Source organism: Homo sapiens, chromosome 9 (assembly GCF_000001405.40).
Source record: "Homo sapiens chromosome 9, GRCh38.p14 Primary Assembly".
Classification (NCBI taxonomy): Eukaryota; Metazoa; Chordata; class Mammalia; order Primates; family Hominidae; genus Homo; species Homo sapiens.
In genome coordinates, this window is record NC_000009.12 from 35,628,093 (window position 1) to 35,649,167 (window position 21,075).

General features: G+C 45.8%; 1 protein-coding gene and 1 long non-coding RNA gene across 3 annotated transcripts in view, besides 1 other annotated feature; one reads left to right on the top strand and one right to left on the bottom strand.

Moving 5' to 3' along the window:
- Positions 1-18,765, bottom strand: part of CD72 (CD72 molecule) — a 36,876-nt gene extending 18,111 nt beyond the window's left edge. For both annotated transcript variants that reach the window (XM_047424154.1, XM_047424156.1), the window contains exon 1: positions 18,311-18,765. The gene's annotated coding sequence lies outside the window, so the exon portion shown is untranslated. The remainder of the gene's footprint in view (positions 1-18,310) is intronic.
- Positions 18,178-19,384, top strand: LOC101926948 (uncharacterized). Its single transcript, NR_135130.1, has 2 exons — positions 18,178-18,341; positions 18,598-19,384. It is a non-coding gene; the product is annotated as an uncharacterized LOC101926948 (long non-coding RNA).
- Positions 18,350-18,729: an enhancer, noted in NCBI's record as "active region_28329". NCBI's record gives its function as "activates an Ori minimal core promoter by ATAC-STARR-seq in GM12878 lymphoblastoid cells {active_cell/tissue: GM12878}" and the evidence as "EXISTENCE:reporter gene assay evidence [ECO:0000049][PMID:35858748]".
- Positions 19,385-21,075: the final 1,691 nt, after the last annotated feature.

Here is a 21,075-nt window from a genome sequence, read left to right on the forward strand (position 1 = left end):
CCAAAGTACTGAAATTACAGGCATGACTCACTCTGCCTGGCTTCTTCTTTTTAAAAAAGAGACAGGGGTCTTGTTATGTTGCCCAGGCTGGACTTGAACTCCTGGGCTCCAGCAATCCTCCTGCCTTGGCCTCCGAAGTATCTGGGACTACAGGCACGTGTTACCAGGGCCAGCTTATTCCTCTTCTTCCTCCTCCTTTTTAAATAAACTATGACCTGGGCGGGGCGTGGTGGCTCACGCCTGTAATCCCAGTACTTTGAGAGGCTGAGGCCGGTGGATTACAAGGTCAGGAGCTCGAGACCATCCTGGCTAACATGGTGAAACCCCATCTCTACTAAAAATACAAAAAAATTTAGCTGGGCATGGTGGCAGGCACCTGTAGTAAGAAACAGTGACAGCATGAATTTAACACAAGACATAAGTGGATCTGAGTGATGCTCGCTGCTCGGCAGATACTGTCAGTGCCTCAGCCATTTCTCCTCAGGCCTCACCGCTGGCTGCACATAAGCCCAGAGGCTAAGGGCAGGCCTGCAGCTCCTTGCCTGAAGCTTTTCTCTGGTAGGTGAGCAGAGCAGAGGGCCAGGAGTGCTGGAGAATCCATGCCTCCCCCTGTAAAGCAGCTCTCAAACAAAGACTGGTGGGAACTGGTATATGAATACACCAGCCACCTCACCCTGGGAGTGGGAGAGTAACTGTGTGGGCGCATGTTCTACACTGGCTCTCAGAGTTCCCCACTGGTTTTAAGCTCCAGTTTTTCGCCATGCATGTAAGTGGTATCTTTTTTTGTTTTTTGTTTTTTTGAGACAGGATCTTGCTCTGTTGCCCAGGCTGGAGTGCAGTGGCATGATCACTGCTCGCTGCAGCCTCAACCTGCTGGGCTCAAGTGATCCTCCCAGTTCAGCCTCCCAAGTAGCTGGGACTAAAGGCATGCACCACAATGCCTGGCTAATTAAATTTTTTTTTTTTAAGAGATGGGGGTCTCTCTAGTTGCCCAGGTTGGTCTCAAACTCCTGGGCTCAAGCAATCTTCCTGCCTGGGCCTCCCAAAGTACTGGAATTACAGACATGAGCCACTGCGCCCGGCAGGCATCTCATTTTTACTTTAAGCTGCATGTCCCTGATTTGTAGTGAATTTGAGCGTATTTTCATGTTTCTTAACCATTTGGATTAGCTCTTCAACTGAGGTTAGAATCCTTTGTGTATATTTTTCTATCCCCCCAGAATTTTATTTTGAAACATTTTAAGCTTAAAGGAAAGTTGAAAGAATATCATGAACACTTGTATATCCTTCATTTAGTATGTCAGTCAAGGCCCATCAGAGAAGTAAAACCACTAGCATAAGCATATGTATGTATGTTTATATATACATACACACACATACATATTTTTTCAATTAAGAGATTTAGTACACAGAATTGCTCTTATTTGGTACAGAGAATTGCTCAATTATGCATTTGTGGGAGCAAGCTCAACAGTCTCTGAAAGGTGTTGTCTTTGCTTCTGCTGCTGGAGCTCGGATTCTGCAGGCCAGGCAGCCAGGAAGGGAAGATGGGCAAAAGTGGGACAGAGCAAGGATAAGCCAGAACCCGTGAACATAGACTGGAACCCAAGTCAGTCTCTGCCCGCCTCCACCTTTGATGACGCGAATGTCCTGCCACAGAAGGTGTGCTTTTACCCACCATGCTCTGCTGCTACATGGGTATGCAAGCCCTGCTAGTGCACAGTCCCAGCACATGGTAGCACTCAGTAAGGAGAGCTAGATGTTCAGTTCCACTGATTATGTCAGCCCACTTTCTCCAATGACTTGAATTGTCATGTTTTTGTATATACAATCACCTTGTTTGGGATTCTCTGTTTTATTCCACTGACTAATTTTTCCCCTTTGCTTTATTCATTTGATTAAGTGGCCTTATGTTATCATATTTGGTAAAGTGAATTTCTTTTCTTTTTTTTTTTTTTTTGGAGATGGGAGTCTTGCCCTGTCGCCGCCCAGGCTGGAGTGCAGCCGCGCGTCTCAGCTCACTGCAACCTCCACCTCCCGGGTTCAAGCTATTCTCCTGCCTCAGCCTCCCGAGTAGCTGGAATTACAGGCATGTGCCATCACGCCCGGCTAATTTTTGTATTTTTGTAGAGAAGGGGTTTCGCCATGTTGGCCAGCCTGGTTTTGAACTCCTGACCTCAGGTGATCCCCCCGCCTCAGCCTCCCAAAGTGCTGGGATTACAGGCATGAGCCACCGCACCCGGCTGCTAAAGTGAATTTCTCTATTTTTTCTCACTATTTTCCCTATCAAAATCTTTGTATTTTTAAAAAATAGTTTTTTCTTTGCTTGTTCTTTGTTTTACTAATTGGAATTATACACTTTAATTTTTGGAGAACTGACACTTTTTATGATATTTTCTCTTCCCAAAAGGATATGGTTAATTTTCTGTTTATTCCCATCTTGTTTTATAGTGTTTAATAATATTTTACTGTATAACTTTATTCATATGAATACTTATGTGTTTCTTGATTAAATATGAGTAAATGTATGTACCATATCATAGTGGTTACAAGGGAAGTATCTGCCAAACTGCCAGGGTTCAAATCCCAGCTCTGAGATTTTACCAGCTATTAATAGTAATCTGGGGCTAAATCACTTAATCTGTGTGTTCCTCAGTGTTCTCTTCTGTAAAATAAGAACAATAATAGTGGCTGGACGCAGTGGCTCACACCTGTAATCCCAGCACTTTGAGAAGCTGAGGCAGGTGGATCGCTTAAGCCCAGGAGTTCGAGATAAACCTGCGCAACATGGCAAAACGCCCGTCTCTACAAAAAATACAAAATAATAATAATAGTAATCTGTTTCAAGAGGATGTTGTGAGGCTTGATTGAGTTGATACAAAGTGCTAAGAATAGTTCATGGCATTATGGTGGCTATCATTATTATCCTAAGAATTTTTTTTTCTGAGTAGCTTCATTATCTATATATTATCCTAAGAATTTTATAACTTTGTAACTCTAAATTGAAACTGCTTCCATTTTCAATTCAATATGCTTATTGCTAGAGTAAAAACAATTTATTTTCATTATATTTATCTTGTATCCAGTCAGCCCTCCAAATTATATTGCTTTTTACTATGGCTTTTTATTTTTACTAGTCTTTTGGTTTTTCTGGTACAATCATGTCAGCAGCAAAAAAGATAATATTATAATTTCTTTTCAGATGAGCGTAACAATTCATTGTCTTGTTTTACTGAATTTGGTAAAACTTCCAAGATATGTCAAATAATAAGGATAATAGCAGGCATTTCTGTCTAAATTTTTATTTTAATTGAAGTGGTTTCAGTGTTTCACCATTGAGAACCATATTTGCTTTTAGGTTTTAGTAACTAGTCTTTATTATATTTAAGCAGTTTTCCTCTTTTTCTTTTTTACTTAGAGTTTTTTTGGGAATAGTATCAAGATGTACTAGCTTTACAATTAAATCTTGGAGCCTTTCTTCGTTTTCTATACTCTTGACCAGTTTAAACGGCATAGAACGGCTGGGCGCGGTGGCTCACGCCTGTAATCCCAACACTTTGGGAGGCCGAGGCGGGCGGATCACGACGTCAGCAGATCGAGATCCATCCTGGCTAACACGGTGAAACCCCGTCTCTACTAAAAATACAAAAAATTAGGCGTGGTGGTGGGCACCTGTAATCCCAGCTACTCGGGAGGCTGAGGCAGGAGAATGGCGTGAACCCGGGAGACGGAGCTTGCAGTGAGCCGAGATCGCCGAGCCACTGCACTCCAGCTTGGGCTACAGAGCCAGACTCCACTCAAAATAAATAAATAAATAAATAAAAATAAATAAATGGCATAGAAATTATTATTTAAGGTTAGAAAAAACTCATATCTGGTGCCATGTGAATGCAGTATTTCCCAAAAGGAGTCTCTCATCACCTTCCTATTGCAGTCTTTTCTAAAATAAGTTGGGCTCTTCAAGCTTTCCTCTTTCTCCTGGGTCAATTTTGGTAATTTATATATTTCTTGAAAGATATCCATTTCCTCTAAATTTTCAAATTGGTTGATTTTCAGTTGTACTGTTTTATAATTCTTCAATTTTCTCCTCTTTTTTTTTTTTTGAGACGGAGTATCGCTCTGTCACCCAGGCTGGAGTGCAGTGGCGCGATCTCGGCTCACTGCAAGCTCCGTCTTCCGGGTTCACGCCATTCTGCCTCAGCCTCCCGAGTAGCTGGGATTACAGGTGCCCACCACCACGCCTAATTTTTTGTATTTTTAGTAGAGACGGGGTTTCACCGTGTTAGCCAGGATGGTCTTGACCTCCTGACCTCGTGATGCGCCCGCCTCGGCCTCCCAAAGTGCTGGGATTACAGGCTTGAGCCACTGTGCCCGGCCTTCTCCTCTATTTGTAAGAATGTTTTCTTTCTCATAACTAATCTTGTCTATTTAATCTTTCTCTCTTTTTCCCCCTTTAATTTGGCTTGCAAGAGGTTTATTTTATTAGCTTTTTTTTTTTTTTCGAGAGGGAGCCTTACTCTGTCGCCCAGGCTGGAGTGCAGTGGCACCATCTCGGCTCACTGCAACCTCTACCTCCTGGGTTCAAACGATTCTCCTTCCTCAGCCTCCCAAGTAGCTGGGGTTACAGGTGTCTGCCACTGCACCCTGCTAATTTTTGTATTTTTTAGGAGAGACAGGTTTTCACCGTGTTGGCCAGGCTGGTCTCAAACTCCTGACCTCAGGTGATCTGCCTGCCTCAGCCTACCAAAGTGCTGGGATTTCAGGCACGAGCCACTGTGCCCAGCCTTATTAGCTCTTTTAAAAGACAATTTTTTGGATTTATTTATCCTTTTTAGTTTTTTTTTTTTTTTCTTTTTGAGACAGGGTGTGGCTCTGTTGCCCTGGCTGGAGTGCAGTGGTGCAATCTCAGCTCACTGCAACCTCCACCTCCTGGGCTCAATCTAACCTCCCATCTCAGCCTCCCAAGTAGCTGGGACTACAGGCGTACACCACCATGCCTGGCTAATTTTTGTACTTTTTTTTTTTTTTCTTCAGAGATGGGGTTTCACCATGTTGCCCAGGCTGGTTTCGAACTCCTAAGCTCAAGTGATTCTCCCGCCTTGGCTTCCCAAAGCGCTGGGATTACAGGCATGAGCCACTGTGCCTGGGCCTTCTTAGTATTTTTGTTTTTTGTTTTTTTTTTTTCATTTCATTAGTGTTAGCTTTAGTTATTATTTTCTGATTTGATTTCTTTTCTTATTCTTTTCATAATTTCTTGAAATAAGTGCTCCCTTTATTTTTCCTGTGCGTGTGTTGTTTAAAGCTTGCTATCTTTTTGACAGTATAATATATGATACAGGGTAATTGAGAGAGTTTCTCATGTTACGCTGTTTTCTCATTTCACATTTTTATTTTGTGAACATAGTATTTTCATTCTTTTTTTAAAAACCAGTTTTATTGCATTGTAATTTATATACAACAAATTGATCCATTTTAAGTGTACAATCCTATGAGTTTTGACAAGTGTATTCAGTTGTGTAATTACCACCACAATTAAGATACAAAACCTTCCTATCTCTCCCAAAATCCTCCTATCCCTTTGCAGGAAGTCTTCTCCCACCTCCCCCAGCCCGTAACTTAAATTTCTCTTGTTTGATATCAGTACAGATGTTCCTTGACTTAGGATGGGACTACGTTCCGAAAAACCCATCATAAGTAGAAAGTAATGTTAGTCGAAAATGCATTTAATACCCTGATAAACCCATCGTAAAGTCAAAGAATCCTAAGTTAAACCATTGTTAAGTCGGGGATTGTCTGTATATAGCCTCTGGTTTTTAAAATAATATTTAATATTTGCCTGGTATCTCTTTCCATGTCTTTATTTTAAAACTTTATCACTTTAAGTGTGTTTCTCTTAAGTAATGTGTGCCTAAATTTGATTTATAACAAAATCTGACAGTCTTTTAATGGTAGATTTCAGTCCGCTTTTATTTACTGTAATGAGTGATGTATTTGATTTTCTTATTTCCATCTTACTTGTTTTAAAGTTTTTTTATATTGTTGTTAACTCTTCTTTTTTTTAATCTTTGCTAGATTAAATAAATTACTACTCATTCAATTTTTCTCCTCATTAATTTGGAGTTTGTCATTCTATTAATAGTTACCATCCCTGTCCCTGCTCTCAGATAGATACACATGACTTTTCTAGTGTATGAAAACAACAGCTACTATTTCCAGAATACTTTAATTACCTTCTATTTCCTCCCCATCCCAATAAAATGTAATCTTTTTTATTTTTGAGACAGAGTCTCACTCTTGTTCCCCAGGCTGGAGTACAGTGGCACGATCTTGGCTCACTGCAACTTCCACCTCCTGGGTTCAAGCGATTCTCCTGCCTCAGCCTCCCAAGTAGCTGGGATTACAGGAGCCCGCCACCAGGCCCAGCTAATTTTTGTATTTTTAGTAGAGACAGGGTTTCGCCATGTTGGCCAGGCTGGTTTTGAACTCCTGACCTCAGGTGATCCGCCCACCTCGGCCTCCGAAAGTGCTGGGATTACAGGCGTGAGCCACCGCGGCTGGCCAAAATGTGACCTTTAGATTACTTTCACTTCCCTTCCTTTCTCCCATTTTTCCTCCCCACCTCTCCCTGCCTTAGACTTCTGGAACACTTTTACCTTCCCCTTATCCCCACCGCCTGACTCCACAGTTTTAATGAGATAATTTAGTCCTTATTAGAATTTCCCTTATAGTGTGTTCCATCTGTTTCAAGAGTCCTTATTTAGCATATATGTTACACCTCATAAACAGACATGGTTCGTTGCTCCCCACTGGTTTCTTGCTTCTTCTCTTCCCCTGTCTTGAAGTCTGTGTTAGGATTCATTTGTTGTTTATTAGAGTCTCTTCTCAAAAGTATTTCTCAGATGAGGTACTCAGTGATTTTTGCAAATCTTTTTTTCTTCCTTGGCTGGGTATAGGTTGCAGGCCTTTTCTTTCATTAGCCCACATTCCATCTGGGGGTCTTTTAACTTTCAGGGTTGCAGATGAGAAAAAATAACTTGCTTTCTGCCTTAAAGTATGTAAGATTTCCTATATTCTTAGAGTTTTGGAATTTTTGCCTATATGTAGCTGAGTGTGTGTCTTTTCGTTTCAATTGGAGCTGGAATCATTCTTTCTTCAGCTTAGAGAAATTTCATCTATTATTTAATTATGATCTCTCCTCTCTTGTTCCTTTTTCTCCTGGAACCCACAGCATTTGCAGGTTAAGTCTACTCTATCTGTTCCAGGCTTCTACCTTCTACCACATATTTGCAATTCTATATTTTTGTGCTAGATTTTGAGACTTTTTTTCTATTTAATTTTCTAGACCTATTTTGGGGTTTCAGCAATGACTGTCCTCTCCTTTGATTTATCAATGGAAATTTTTAGTTCTGAGATCACATTTTCTAGTTCAAGGAAATCTTTTGTGTTTGAGCTTCACACATATCTCTTCCAGGCTCTCATTTTTTCTGTCAGGGATTCAGCTGTCTCTGCCAGCAGGTTCCTCTGCCCTCTGGTTTTTCTGCATTCTCCCAGCCTCAAGGGCTGAGAAATTAAATCCACCATTAGTTTTGCTGGTAGTTAAGACCCAGAAGAGTCATGATTGTCCTTGGGAAGCAGGCTGTCTCTGAGACTTGCTTTCTTCCTGAAAGTCCTTGCTTTTGGCTCTGAGGCTGTTTTCCAGAACTTGTCTATAAGGAATTCTCTCTGCTTGGAGCCCAGAGGAGCCCACTTAAAGTTTGTCACCTATAGCTGGAGTTGTCAGAGGGGGTGTGGAATGGAGAACCTCACTAGAGTTTCCTAGAATTCTCTTGCTCTAAGAGGTCTAAGTATCACTATTAACAAATAAAAAGTCACCAAAACACTTAAAGCCAGGAAGTGTTGAAAGTAGTTACCTCTGGGAACTATGACTGGGAGTAGGAATTGGAATTGGGGGAGAGAGGTTTTTACTTTTATTTTTTCCCCTATGCTAGGATTTCTCACCCTCAGCACTATAAATTTTGGGTGAGAAATTCCTTATTGTGAGTAGCTGACCTGAGTTTTGTAGGTTGTTTAACAGCATCCTTGACCTCTTTCCACTACCACCCCCTCCCCAGTTGTGAAAACCAAAAATGTTTCCAGACATGCCCTAAATGTTTCCTGCAGGGGGTGGGGGCAAAGTCACCCCTGGTTGAGAACCACTGTTGTGTAGCCTTTGGTTCTATTTGACTTTTTTTTTAACCACGTGCACATTATTTCTATAATTAAACATTTAACTGAGGTCACAAGACCGAAGAGGAAATATGAAGCTGTTATAAGGAACCAGAACAACTAAGTAGAGAATATACAGTAAAGGATAGGGAAGCAAGTTAGCAAAGTGGGAAGAAATGGAATATAAATAAAAGAAGTAGAAATGAAGAAATGAGAATCACTTAAATCTGTTCCCTCCTTGTAACAAAACCAAGCTGGAAGTTTAAACCCATCTTTGAGAGACTGCAGAGCAGGGCCAAAGATGGAGAGACCCTGGCCACATCGCTTCCAAAGACCCTCTTCACCTATAAGTAATTTCTTAAGAACTTTCTGGCCGGGCGCAGTGCCTCACGCCTGTAATCCCAGTACTTTGGGAGGCCTAGGCGGGTGGATCACGAGGTCAGAAATGAAGAGAGTATCTGAGTCTTGGAACTAGAGGAGCAGGATCCTGAAGTCCCACATAGTCCTGTCACTGAGGTCCCTGTCAGGCCTCTGAGCCCAAGAAAAGCCATTATATCCCCTGTGACCTGCACGGATACATCCAGATGGCCTGAAGCAACTGAAGATCCACAAAAGAAGTTAAAATAGCCAGTTCCTGCCTTAACTGATAACATTCCACCATTGTGATTTGTTTCTGCCCCACCCTAACTGATCAATTGACTTTGTGACAATACACCCTCCCCACCCTTGCGATAAGTACTTTGTGATATTCCCCCACCCTTGTGAATGTACTTTGTACGATACACCCTCCCCACCCTTAAGAAGGTACTTTGTAATATTCTCCCCACGCTTGAGAACGTACTTTGTAAGAAGATCTACCCCCTGCCCGCAAAAAATTGCTCCTAACTCTATCGCCTATCCCAAAACTATAAAAACTAATGATAATCCCATCACCCTTTGCTGACTCTCTATTCGGACTCAGCCCGCCTGCACCCAGGTGAAATAAACAGCCTTATTGCTCACACAAAGCCTGTTTGGTGGTCTCTTCACACAGACGTGCATGGCATTTGGTGCTGAAGACCCGGGACAGGAGGACTCCTTCGGGAGGCGGGTCCCCTGTCCTCGCCCTAACTCTGTGAGGAGATCCACCTACAACCTCGGGTCCTCAGACCAACCAGCCCAAGGAACATCTCACCAATTTCAAATTGGGTAAGCGGTCTTTTCACTCTCTTCTCCAGCCTCTCTTGCTACCCTTCAATCTCCCTCTCTTGCTACCCTTCAATCTCCCTGTCCTTCCAATTCCAGTTCTTTTTCCTCTCTAGTAGAGACAAAGGAGACACATTTTATCTGTGGACCCAAAACTCCGGCGCTGGTCATGGACTCAGGAAGACAGCCTTCCCTTGGTGTCTAATCACTGCGGGGATGCCTGCCTGATTATTCACCCACATTTCATTGGTGTCTGATCACCACGGGGATGCCTGCCTTGGTCATTCACCCACATTCCCTTGGTGGCAAGTCAATTGTGGGGACGCCTGCTTTGGCTGCTCACCCACATTGCAGCCCAGGGCTGCTCATCACCCCCTGCTCCGTGTCTCTACCTTTCTCTTTAAACTTACCTCCTTCACTATGGGCAACCTTCCACCCTCGATTCCCCCATCTTTTCCCTTAGCCTGTGTTCTTGAAAACCCCTTCAACTCACACCTGACCTAAAACCTAAATGCCTTATTTTCTTCTGCAATACCACTTGGCCCCAATACAAACTCGAAAATAGTTCCAAGTGGCCAGAGAACGGCACTGTCAATTTGTCTATCCTACAAGACCTAGATAATTTTTGTCGAAAAATGGGCAAATGGTCGGAGGTGCCGTACATCCGGGCGTCTTTCACACTTCATTCTCTCCCTAGTCTCTGTTCCCAATGCGACTTGTCCCAAATCCTCCTTCTTTCCCTCCCACCTGTCCCTTCAGTCCCAACCCCAAGTGTTGCTGGGTCTTTTGAATCTTCCTTTTCTACCGACCCATCTGACCTCTCCCCTCCTCCCCAGACTGCTCCTCCTCAGGTCGCTCCCCACCAGGCTGAATCAGGCTCCAGCTCCTCTTCAGCCTCCGCTCCCCCACCCTATAACCCTTCTATCACCTCCCCTCCTCACACCCAGTCTGGCTTACAGTTTTGTTCTGCGACTAGCTCTCCCCCACCTGCCCAACAATTTCCTCTTAGAGAAGTGGCTGGAGCTGAAGGCATAGTCTGGGTACATGCGCCTTTTTCTGTATCAGACTTTTCCCAAATCAGCCAGTGTTTGGGCTCTTTCTCATCAGACCCCGCTAAATATATACAGGAATTCCGATATCTAACTCTGTCCTGCAAGTTAACCTGCAGTGACTTAAATGTCATCCTGACTTCCACCCTCTCCCCAGATGAACAGGAAAGAGTTTTTTCTCTAGCCCAGTCTCACGCTGACAACCGCTGGCTTCATGAGCCAGGCCTCCAGGAAGGCATCAGAGCAGTTCCCCGAGAGGACCCCCAAAGGAACTATCAGGCAGATTCCCCAGGTATAGCTAGGCGAGATTACATGATTTCCTGCCTAGTTGAAGGGCTTAAAAAGGCAGCACACAAAGCTGTTAATTCTGACAAGCTAAAGGAAACTACCCAAGGTAAAGGCGAAAACCCAGCCCAGTTCCTGGCCCGCTTGGCAGCAACCCTTAGACGCTTTACCGCCCTAGACCCAGAGGGGCCGGAAGGCCGCCTTATTCTTTTTTTTTTTTTTTAGATGTATTTTACTTTTATTTTTTTAATCTTTGGGCACAAAGATTTGACACATTATTTCAAAAGAATACAACTACTCATCCAGTAGGAATAAATTCAACAAACATTAATTGATGAGCAAAGTACTGGCTTTAAAAAAATAAACTAAGTAAATTTTTTTTCCCTTGGGTAATAAAATAATAATAAAAGAAGAGACATTGGGTTAAGCACCCTTAGGGCAAAATAAAAATGCAATTGGTTTCTCAAAAACTTGCTTTTGACATCTCAAAAAAAGTCATGCTAGGGAAATGAGCTAAGAAAGCACATTGTTATTTGTACGTGGTAGTGTGACATCCTTGCCATGTTGAAGGTAAGACCATCTAAAGGTCAAGACAGTACACAGAGACTATAAAAACAAAATTGAAATAAAAAGCAGGATAATAAAATGAAAGGAAAAGTAGAAACTGCCAGAAAGAAGCAGAAGCAGCACAACTGTCAAGGAGACAGTGTAAATTCAGATGCCATCAAGCTTTACCACAAAGAGATAAAGGAAAAGGCCAATTTTGATGACAAATGACAAAGTGTAACATCCAAAGAGAAATGGAGAAAAAAGAGGTCATCTGTCCTCCTGTGAACATTTGAATAGTTCTCAGATACACTTAGTTTGAGCAGAATTATGTGATTACTGAGTTCTTCCCTCTCTGCTTGGCAAAAATGATGGAAGTCTTGTCTCCAATTTTAACCCTATTTGCCTTTTTGCAACAATATGGCAGGTTGTTTACATGCTGGCTGGGGAAAGGGAAACTAAGAGTAAAAACCAACCAGTTGTTACTTTGCAAAATGGAAATGTAACTCTGAGGATTAAGCAATCTTGACTGCTAACAAAATTAATTCCTGAACACCATGAAAAAGGAAAAAATACATAGAAATTGATATTTTAAACGTTAAATATTCAGCAGTTTCTCTTATTTGGCAAAATCTTTTTGAAGCAAAGCTGATCTCATTTTGGTTTAGATCACATCAAAGAATTTCCACCAAAAATGACTGAATTATTGCTATTTACTAAAATGGTTTTCATTCTGTGACATTTTTCTGTTTCAACCAAAATTGGTGTACTAAAAGCCATTTCTGGCACTGACCATCTACAGTTAGTGCAGACTCCATAAGTTAAGGGCTTAATCCTTCACAAATCTTCTCTTCAGATTCCAGCTGTACTTTGGGGGTCCCCAGGTCACCCACACTTCTGAACAACTAGCTATAAATTTGGTGATTCCCATGACCCTGTTAGTGTTACCGTGGGTCTTTGCTCACAGAGCTCCCAAGATGGTGGTGAGCCGCTTCCAAGATGGTGGCAAGCCTTGTGTTCTCTGACTTGGGGTTCTTGGCCTCACGGATTCCAAGGAATGGAATCTTGGGCCATGCGATGAGTGTTATAGCTCTATTAGAAGCCGTGGGTCACGGAAGAGAACTGTGGAACCCAGTGACTAGTGTTCAGCTCGATTAGGACGAACCCAGGCACTTAGCCGTGCAAGAACAATGGGAAGCCTTTAGCACGATCGGGAGTGGCAATGGGAGTCTCACTGGGTCAGGAGCACAGCAGACACCCTGCCGGATCTGGAGGGATGGGAGTCAGCAGCAGGATGGGAGTCAGCGGCAGGTCTGCGACAGTGGCAAACAGCAGTGGTGGACGGGGAGCGAAAGCTCAGCTCGAGCCGTAACAAACATGGACCAGAAGAGTGCAGTTGCAAGATTTAATAGAGTGAAAACAGAGCTCCCATACAAAGGGAGGGGACCCAAAGGGGGTTGCCATTGCCGGCTTGAATGCCCGGGTTTATATCCCGATCCTTGTCCCTCCTGCTGTGCTCTCAGGCAAAAGGTGATTGGCTATTTCTTTACCTCCTGTTTTTGCCTAATTAGCATTTTAGTGAGCTCTCTGATTGGTTGGGTGTGAGCTAAGTGGCAAGCCCCATGTTTAAAGGTGGATGCAGTCACCTTCCCAGCTACGCTTAGGGATTCTTAGTCGGCCTAGGAAATCCAGCTAGTCTTGTCTCTCAGTGCCCCCTCTCAACAGGAAAACCCAAGTGCTGTTGGGGAGGTTGGCTGATGACCGCTGTAACTGCTTCCTGCTGAATTGGGGCATAGTAGGGGTTGCACAGTTGAGATTTCCTCGGGGGGGGTGCCTTCGATGTCATTAACATCGGAGCATGGGCTAGCAGGCTGGTCCAGGGGTCTGTGGTGGATCTTAGTCATGGACTGCATCTGGGGCTCCATTTGAAGAACCATTTGTAGTTTTACAGTTTCAATTCTGGAAGAGACAAACTTAACAAGGAGGTTAAAGATACAGGGATTGAAATGTATGGCCTGCAGTGCAGGGAATTACTTCTTTGGCACACTTTACAGGCCCTGACTATCTGCTTGATAGTTTTGAAAGACCTGGTCCAGTAAATAATAATTTGGCCATCTGATGGGTGCTATCAATGCCTAAGTGAAAGATTTGGTGAAGGGTTTAAAGTAATTTCCATTGGTTAGCTGCAGGCATAAGTATTTTTCCTTCTTCGGTGGCTAGCCATCTTGAGGAGAGGAAACTATGTCTTCTTGAGGTTCCTCATTCTATTTCTTCTTCTGAGTACTGGGGCTTGGTTTCCTGGAGGGGATTACCTCATACTAGGGGTCCTTCTATAAGCATTTCTAATGGAGGGTCCTGCCTTGTGGCTCTTTTGGCTTCAATATCTGCTTGGCGGTTCCCTTCTATTTCCCTTTCCTTTCCTTTGTGGTGACCCCGGCAGTGTAAGACTGTCACCTCTTTAGGTTTCTGTACAGCCAATAGTAATCTCCTAATGGCTTCCAGATGTTTGATAGGTGTTTCCTTGGAAGTTAGGAATTCCCTTTCTCTCCATACTGCTGCATGGGCATGGAGGACTAGGTGAGCATACTTAGAGTCTGTATATATATTTACCCTTTTCCCTTCTCCTAATTCTAGTTCCCGAGTGAGGGCTATTAGTTCTGCCAGCTGAGCACTAGTTCCTGGAGTGAGGGGATTACTTTCAAGTATTCCATTATCACTAACCACTGCATACCCTGCTTTTCAAAGCCCTTTTTCTACAAAGGAACTTCCATCAGTATACAAGTTGAGGTCGGGATCAGTCACGGGAACCTCTAAAAGGTCCCCTCTAGCGGCACTGGTTTGAGCAATTACTTGTTGACAGTTATGTTCTATCTTTTCTTCATTGTCTGGAAGAAATGTGGCTGGGTTAAGAGTTGCACAAGTGCACAGTCGCAGCACTGGCCCTTCAAGTAATACAGCTTGATATTTAAGTAAATGGTTGTCTGACAGCCACAAGTCTCCTTTAGCAGTGAGTATGCTGTTTACATCATGAGATGGCCACACAGTAAGATCACCTGTATTATTTTAACTGCTTCAGATACTAAGACTGCTACTGCTGCCACTATCCGTAAACAATGGGGCCAACCCTTTACCACTCCATCAATTTCCTTACTCAGGTATGCCACGTGTTGCAAGCTCATCCCTCGGACCTGTGTAAGGACTCCTAGAGCTATTCCTGTTTCTTCTGTGACATATAAAGAAAAGTCTTGCCCCATTGGCAAGCTTAACACTGGGGCTTGGGTTAGGGCCTTCTTTAGGGCCTGGAAAGCCGCTTCTGCTTCAGGTGTCCATCTTACTAAATGGGTATTGGCTTTCTGAGTTTCCTTAATTAGTGTATATAATGGCCTGGCTATTTCGCTGTACCTGGGAATCCATATTCGGCAGAAGCCTGTTATGCCAAGGAACCCTCTTAGTTGCTTTTGGGTTGCCGCCTTATTCTTAATATGCATTTTATCACCCAATCTGCTCCTGATATTAGGAAAAAACTCCAACAATTGGATTCCGGCCCTCAAACCCCACAACAGGACTTAATTAACCTTGCCTTCAAGGTGTACAATAATAGAGAAGAGGCAGCCAAGTGACAAGGCATCTCTGAGTTACAGCTACTCGCCTCTGCTGTAAGACAACCCACAACCACGTCTCCAGCACACAAAAACTTCAGAACATCCAAGCCACAGTTCCCAGGGGCTCCTTCAAAACCTCCTCGTGGACCTGGCTTCAAATGCCAAAAGCCTGGCCACTGGGCCTGAGAATGCCCACAGCTCGGGATTCCTCCTAGGCCGTGCCCTGTCTGTGTGGGCCCCCACTGGAGGTTGGACTGTCCGACTCACATCGCCACCATTCCTAAAGCTCCTGGAGCTCAAACCCAACGTTCCTTGGCTGACTCCTTCCCACATCTGCTCGGCTTAGCAGCTGAAGACCGACACTGCCCAATCGCCTTGGAAGCCCCCTGGACCATCACAGACGCGCGTGACAGTCCCCAGCACTGCAGAGATCTGAGATCCAATAACAGTCTGCAGAGGTCTACTCACACCATAGCCACTGCTCTGGGATTCCCATTCCATTTAGGCCTCCTGATTGCCCCATGTGTCCTTACAATAAACAACGCTTCACTTAAAGACTTGATTCCTTACAAACAAAGGCCTGGTAGACTAAGCGCGCCGAGTCAAAGAGATGGCCCCCAACTATGTGTTCCCAGTACTAGATTGACTTCTTAGTGCCACACGTTAAGGATCAAGCCGAAAGGGAGTGATGAGTAAGCTGCAAATAAAGTCTGTAAAAGAACTATAGAAGGGGCCGGGCTGGGTAACTCACGCCTGTAATCCCAACACTTTTGGAGGCGGAGGCAGGCAGATCACCTGAGGTCAGGCATTCAAAACCAGCCTGGCCAACATAGTGAAACCTCATCTCTACTAAAAATACAAAAATTAGCCGGGCGTATTGGCACGCCCCAATAATCCCAGCTACTCCAGAGGTTGGGAGGCTGGGGCAGGAGAATTGCTTAAATCTGGAGGTGGAGGTTGCAGTGGGGCCAAGATCGCACCATTGTACTCCAGCCTGGGTGACAGAGAAAAACTCCGTCTCAAAACAAACAAACAAACAAACTGTAGAAGGCACTTTAGAACGCTTCTCCTGAAAAGGAAAAAAAAAAAAAAGAAAGAAAGGCCAGGCATGGTGGCTCATGCCTGTAATCCCAACACTTTGGGAGGCCAAGGTGGGTGGATCATGAGGTCAGGAGTTTGAGACCATCCTGGCCAACATGGTGAAACCCCATCTCTACTAAAAATACAAAAAATTAGCCAGGCATGGTGGCGAGTGCCTGTAGTCCCAACTACTCTGGAGGCTGAGGCAGGAGAATCGCTTGAAACCAGGGGTGGGGTGGAGGTTGAAGTGAGCCAAGATCACACCGCTGTATTCCAGCCTGGGCAACAAGAGTGAAACTCTGTCTCAAAAAAAAAAAAAAAAAAAAAAAAAGACCTAGGTTATTTGTAAGGACTGGCTCCCAATTCCTCCAGGGCTGTCAGACCAGTATCGACAGAACCAGTGAGACAAGTAACAAGGAAGCCAACTTTGGTTCCAAATTTTAAAAGTTCTATCAATCAGAAAGATTGGAAGAGAGTCCTTGGAAAGGTAGTGAGGTCCTTACCAAGGAGAGGTTCAGCTTCTGGAAGTGTTCAAGAAGAAATCATAGGGCAGTTCCTGCAGTGGGTGTAACTTTGGGCCAGATCTGTCAGCCTCCTTTTGGCTATATGATTCTAGAAATTTATAAGCTAGACAAGGGATCTGATTAACTCACACGTTAAGTAGAAATATCTTAGGGCCAAATGGCATGACAGTACATTTAAGTCAGAGGAGGGTGGCTCAAGGAGGAATTGGGCAATAAGTGAAGACATCAGAGGTTCAGCATCTTCAGCTGGCTCCTGTCTGTTGGTCTTTCCCCCACAGAATTAGTCAGAACTCGTGACTGCGAGAGATAGAAAACATAACTTTGACTGAAGCCAAAAAAAAAAAAAAAAAAGGCCGGGCGCGGTGGCTCACGCCTGTAATCCCAGCACTTTGGGAGGCCAAGGTGGACAGATCACCTGAGGTTGGGAGTTCCAGACCAGTCTGACCAACATGGAGAAACCCCGTTTACTAAAAACACAAAATAAGCCGGGGGTGGTGGAGCATGCCTGTATTCCCAGCTACTCGGGAGGTTGAGGCAGAAGAATCGCTTGAACCCAGGAGGCGGAGGTTGCAGTGAGCCGAGATCTCGCCACTGCACTTCAGCCTGGGCAACAAGAGCGAAACTCCGTCTCAAAAAAAAAAAAAAAAAGGAATTCATTAGCTTACATAGCCAAAAAGTTCAGAAGGCAAATATAGCTCTGGGCATGTCTAGATTCAAGGTTTCAAATGAAGTCATTAAGACTCGGTCTGGGCCAGGCGCTGTGGCTCACGCCTGTAATCCCAGCGGGTGGATCACTTGAGGTCAGGAGTTGGAGACCGGCCTGGCCAACACGGTGAAACCCCGTCTCTATTAAAAATACAAAAATTAGCAGGGCATGGTGGTGCACACCTGTAGTCCCAGCTACTAGGGAGGCTGAGGCAGGAGAATCGCTTGAACCCAAGAGGTAGAGGTTGCAGTGAGCCGAGGTTGCACCACTGCACTCCAGCTTGGGCAACAGAACAAGACTCCGTCTCAAAAAACAAAAACAAACAAAAAAAAACTTGGTCTGTATTATGCATTGTATGCGTATATCAAAATATCTCATGTACTCTATAAATACATACACCTACTATGTACCCATAAAAATTAAGAATTAAAAAACACTTGGTTTCTCTCCACAACCCAGCTCTGTTTCCCTCCTTGTAAGAAAACCAAGCTGGAAGTTTAAACCCATCTTTGAGAGACTACAGAGCAGGGCCAAAGATGGAGGTGCCCTGGCCGGATGGCTTCCAAAGACCCTCCCCACCTATAAGTAATTTCTTAAGAACCTGGCCAGGCTCGGTGGCTCAAGCCTGTAATCCCAGCACTTTGGGAGGTCTAGGTGGGCGGATCACCTGAAGTCAGGAGTTCACCAGCCTGCCCAACATGGCGAAACCCTCTCTCTACTAAAAATACAAAAATAATTAGCCGGGAGTGTTGGCGGGCGTCTGTATTCCCAGCTACTCAGGAGGCTGAGGCAGGAGAATCTCTTGAACCTGGGAGGCGGAGGTTGCAGTGAGCCGAGATCGTGCCATTGCACTCCAGCCTGGGCGACAGGAGCAAGACTTCGCCTCAAAAAAAAAGAAAAAAAAAAAGAACTTCCTGCTGTTGAACCTTTGACTGTCCCGGAGACCCTCCCTCTTCCGTTTTCAATGTGTCCCTATCCTCCTAGCTAGGCTTTAAGAAAGAGGAGGGACAGCTGGGGCCCTAGGAGCTCCCCCTGAGGGTCTGTCCCTGGGAACGGGGCGCTAGGACGGGCACTCCTTCTGGCTGGAATGCTACGCCGGTGAGGGAAAGGAGTCCACTAGGGAAGTACCTGGAGGTGGAGACGGGGAGAGAAATCACAGGTATTTGTGAGTCGATCAGCTAGAGGGTGTGGCAAGGGGGGGCCCCTCGGAAGATGTCTTAAGTTCCAGGTTCAGGAATCAATAGGGAAACTGCCCAGTCCTTGTGTTCAGGGCTGAGGGCCTCGGTGACGGAGACGAGGTAAGAAAACGGAACGGCTGTACAGGAGAAGACAGAGAATCCGGGCTGGGGGACGGAAAACAAAGTTCAAATCATACCCCGCTACAGTCACATATGAAAAATAAAATTGTTTTACAGAAACTCAGTTTACAAACGACTGCTTGGGAGCAGTCATGTCACCCAGTCCAGAGGGAGCCGGTCAGCTGCGTTCCGCGAACTTGGGAGGCGACTGCTGGGGTAGCGGCGGGGCCCTCACTGCGCGTCGTCAGGGACCAGACCCTGGGGTGGCCCCGAAGCGTCGAGACTACAACTCCCGGGATGCCGCGGGCCAGGCTGCATCCCGCCTGCGCAGAAGTGGTGGCAACTCCGCCCCTCGCCAGGCGGCGGCGCTGCGGACTCAGTCCTAAGCGGGCGAAGGCGGCGAGCGCCGTGGGTCTGGGCGGGCCAGGAGAACCGGGTGCTTCGAGGAGATCTGCGGGCTGGGTTGGGGGCGTTTGACCCCTTGGCTTGTCCCAGTGGGTAGGCGGGACTCCAACCCCCGCCTCCTCCAGGGTAAAGCTCTCACGTCCACCTGGCGCGACGCTGAGCCATCTTCAGAAGCACCGCAGCCCTCAGAACCCCACATCCCGCTGCCGGTGGTTCCCCGCATCCGGTGTCCGCCCCCGAAGCCTCCCTCCCTCCCTCCTCCGCATCCCCAGCTACCTGCCCTTAACCGCGACCTGGGCCTCTCCTGGGGAGGCCCAGGGTGGGGTCCTCAGAGGTCCAGGGACCCAGGGGCATTTGTGGGGTCTGTAGGGGGGTGGGCTTAAGGGAAGGGTGGTCCCTTTCAAATTGGGACCACCAGGCAGGAATCAGGCGCACGGGTTCCTCCTCTGTGGCTTCCTGTGGCACTCCAAGTGGGAAGAAGAGAAGCTTGGAAGTGAAAGCCTCAGCTTCTCCTTTCTTCAGCCCCTCAAGCCTCAGAAAGATCTGTCAAGCGCGGCCCGCCTCTACAGAGGCCCTGGGGAGATGGTCTAGACCTTGAAATATCCTAGAAGAGGTTTGACAGGTTGGAGCTTTTGCTAGACAGATGGATCACAGATGGGCTTAAGGGGTGGAGGGTGTGTGTGTGTTTGTGAGAGAGAGAGAGAGAGAGAGAGAGAGAGAGAGAGAGATTGCCAGGTGAGGAAGGTGATGAGCTGAAACCAACTTGGAGCTATGCTGTATTATGATGATGAGGATTTGGGTTGGGGGGTGTTACAGGCTCTAACCAGAAATCTGGAAGATGTGATAGGTGGGGCCTTTAAAAAAAAAAAAAACCCTAAACATCTCTTTGTAATCCATCCCTCCTCTGCATCCCTACCGCTACTGCCGCCATCCCCTCTCACTCAAATCTTGCAATAGCCTTTGAAAGGCGCCGCCTGACTCCAGACTGCTGACCACTAGATCAGCACAGCAGCCAGTGGAGTTAGAGCCTTTAACTCACTGTGTTCATCCCTCGCTTAAAACTTTCAGTGACTCCCTTTCACCTCCCCTGCAGGATAAAGCCCAAGCTCCTTGGCATGACTTATGGGCGCAGTGTGATCTGGCTCTGTCTGCCCCTCCAGCCTCATCTTACCATTGCCCCCATCTCACTCTACCCTCCGCTGTGCCTAATGCACTTCTGCCAGGTCCTCTGAATAAGCCTCTCCTTTGCCTGTGGTTCCCTTTGCCTTGGAGCATTTTCTGTCCTTCGCTTCTCCTGGCAGATTCCTACTATGTGTCATGTCTCTACCTAGAAGTCACTTCACCTATGAGCTCCCATAGAGGATCCTGTATTTCTCTTATTTTAATAATGCCTAGCATTATTGAGCATTTATTGTCTAAGTGCTTTACAAATGGTAACTCATTCAGCCTCACAACCACCTTTTTTTGAAGTAAACACCGTTAATATCCTCTCAATCTTACAGATTCAGAAACCGAGGCACAGTTGCCCAAGAACACACAGCTGGTAAGTGGTAGACATGGAATTTGAATGCAGGCAGTCCGGCTCCTGAGCCCAGAGTCCTAATCTCTGTGCCAACTGGCTGATGTAGCATGCTATATGGGGTAGGAGGCTGGGGTTAAGAATCAGCAGGTGATGGGTGGACAGGCAGGACAAATTAGATGGGGATTAAAATGAAAGTGGTGACAAGCAAAACTGTTGCCAAGACTGCAGGTGACAACTGAGAGAGTGAAGGCCAGGCACGGTGGCTCATGCCTGTAATCCCAGCACTTTGGGAGGCCAGAGTGGGAGAGAGTGAGTGGAGATGGACCGCTGCCATAGTGATGGGGTAAGGAGAAGGCCTCTAGGGGTATACGATGACTAAGTGCAGATAAGGCTACTGATGTCAAAACAGGGGTATAGGTGGGACTCATAGCGGACAGACGGAGGTCAGATTGGAGGACTTGATGAAGGAACCAGGCTGGCAGGTTGTGGAGGTGATGGCAGTTATAGAGGTCAAGGGGAGAGTAGCTCAGGACTGTGAGCTTGCAGCCCCAGGGGGAATGCAGTGGCTCTGAGTGCAGATCCCAGGGGTGTTCTAGCAGCAGCAACAGCAGCTGAGGAGCTGGGCTCTGGCCCTCCACCCCGGTGCCCACCTCTGCACTGTTGATGCC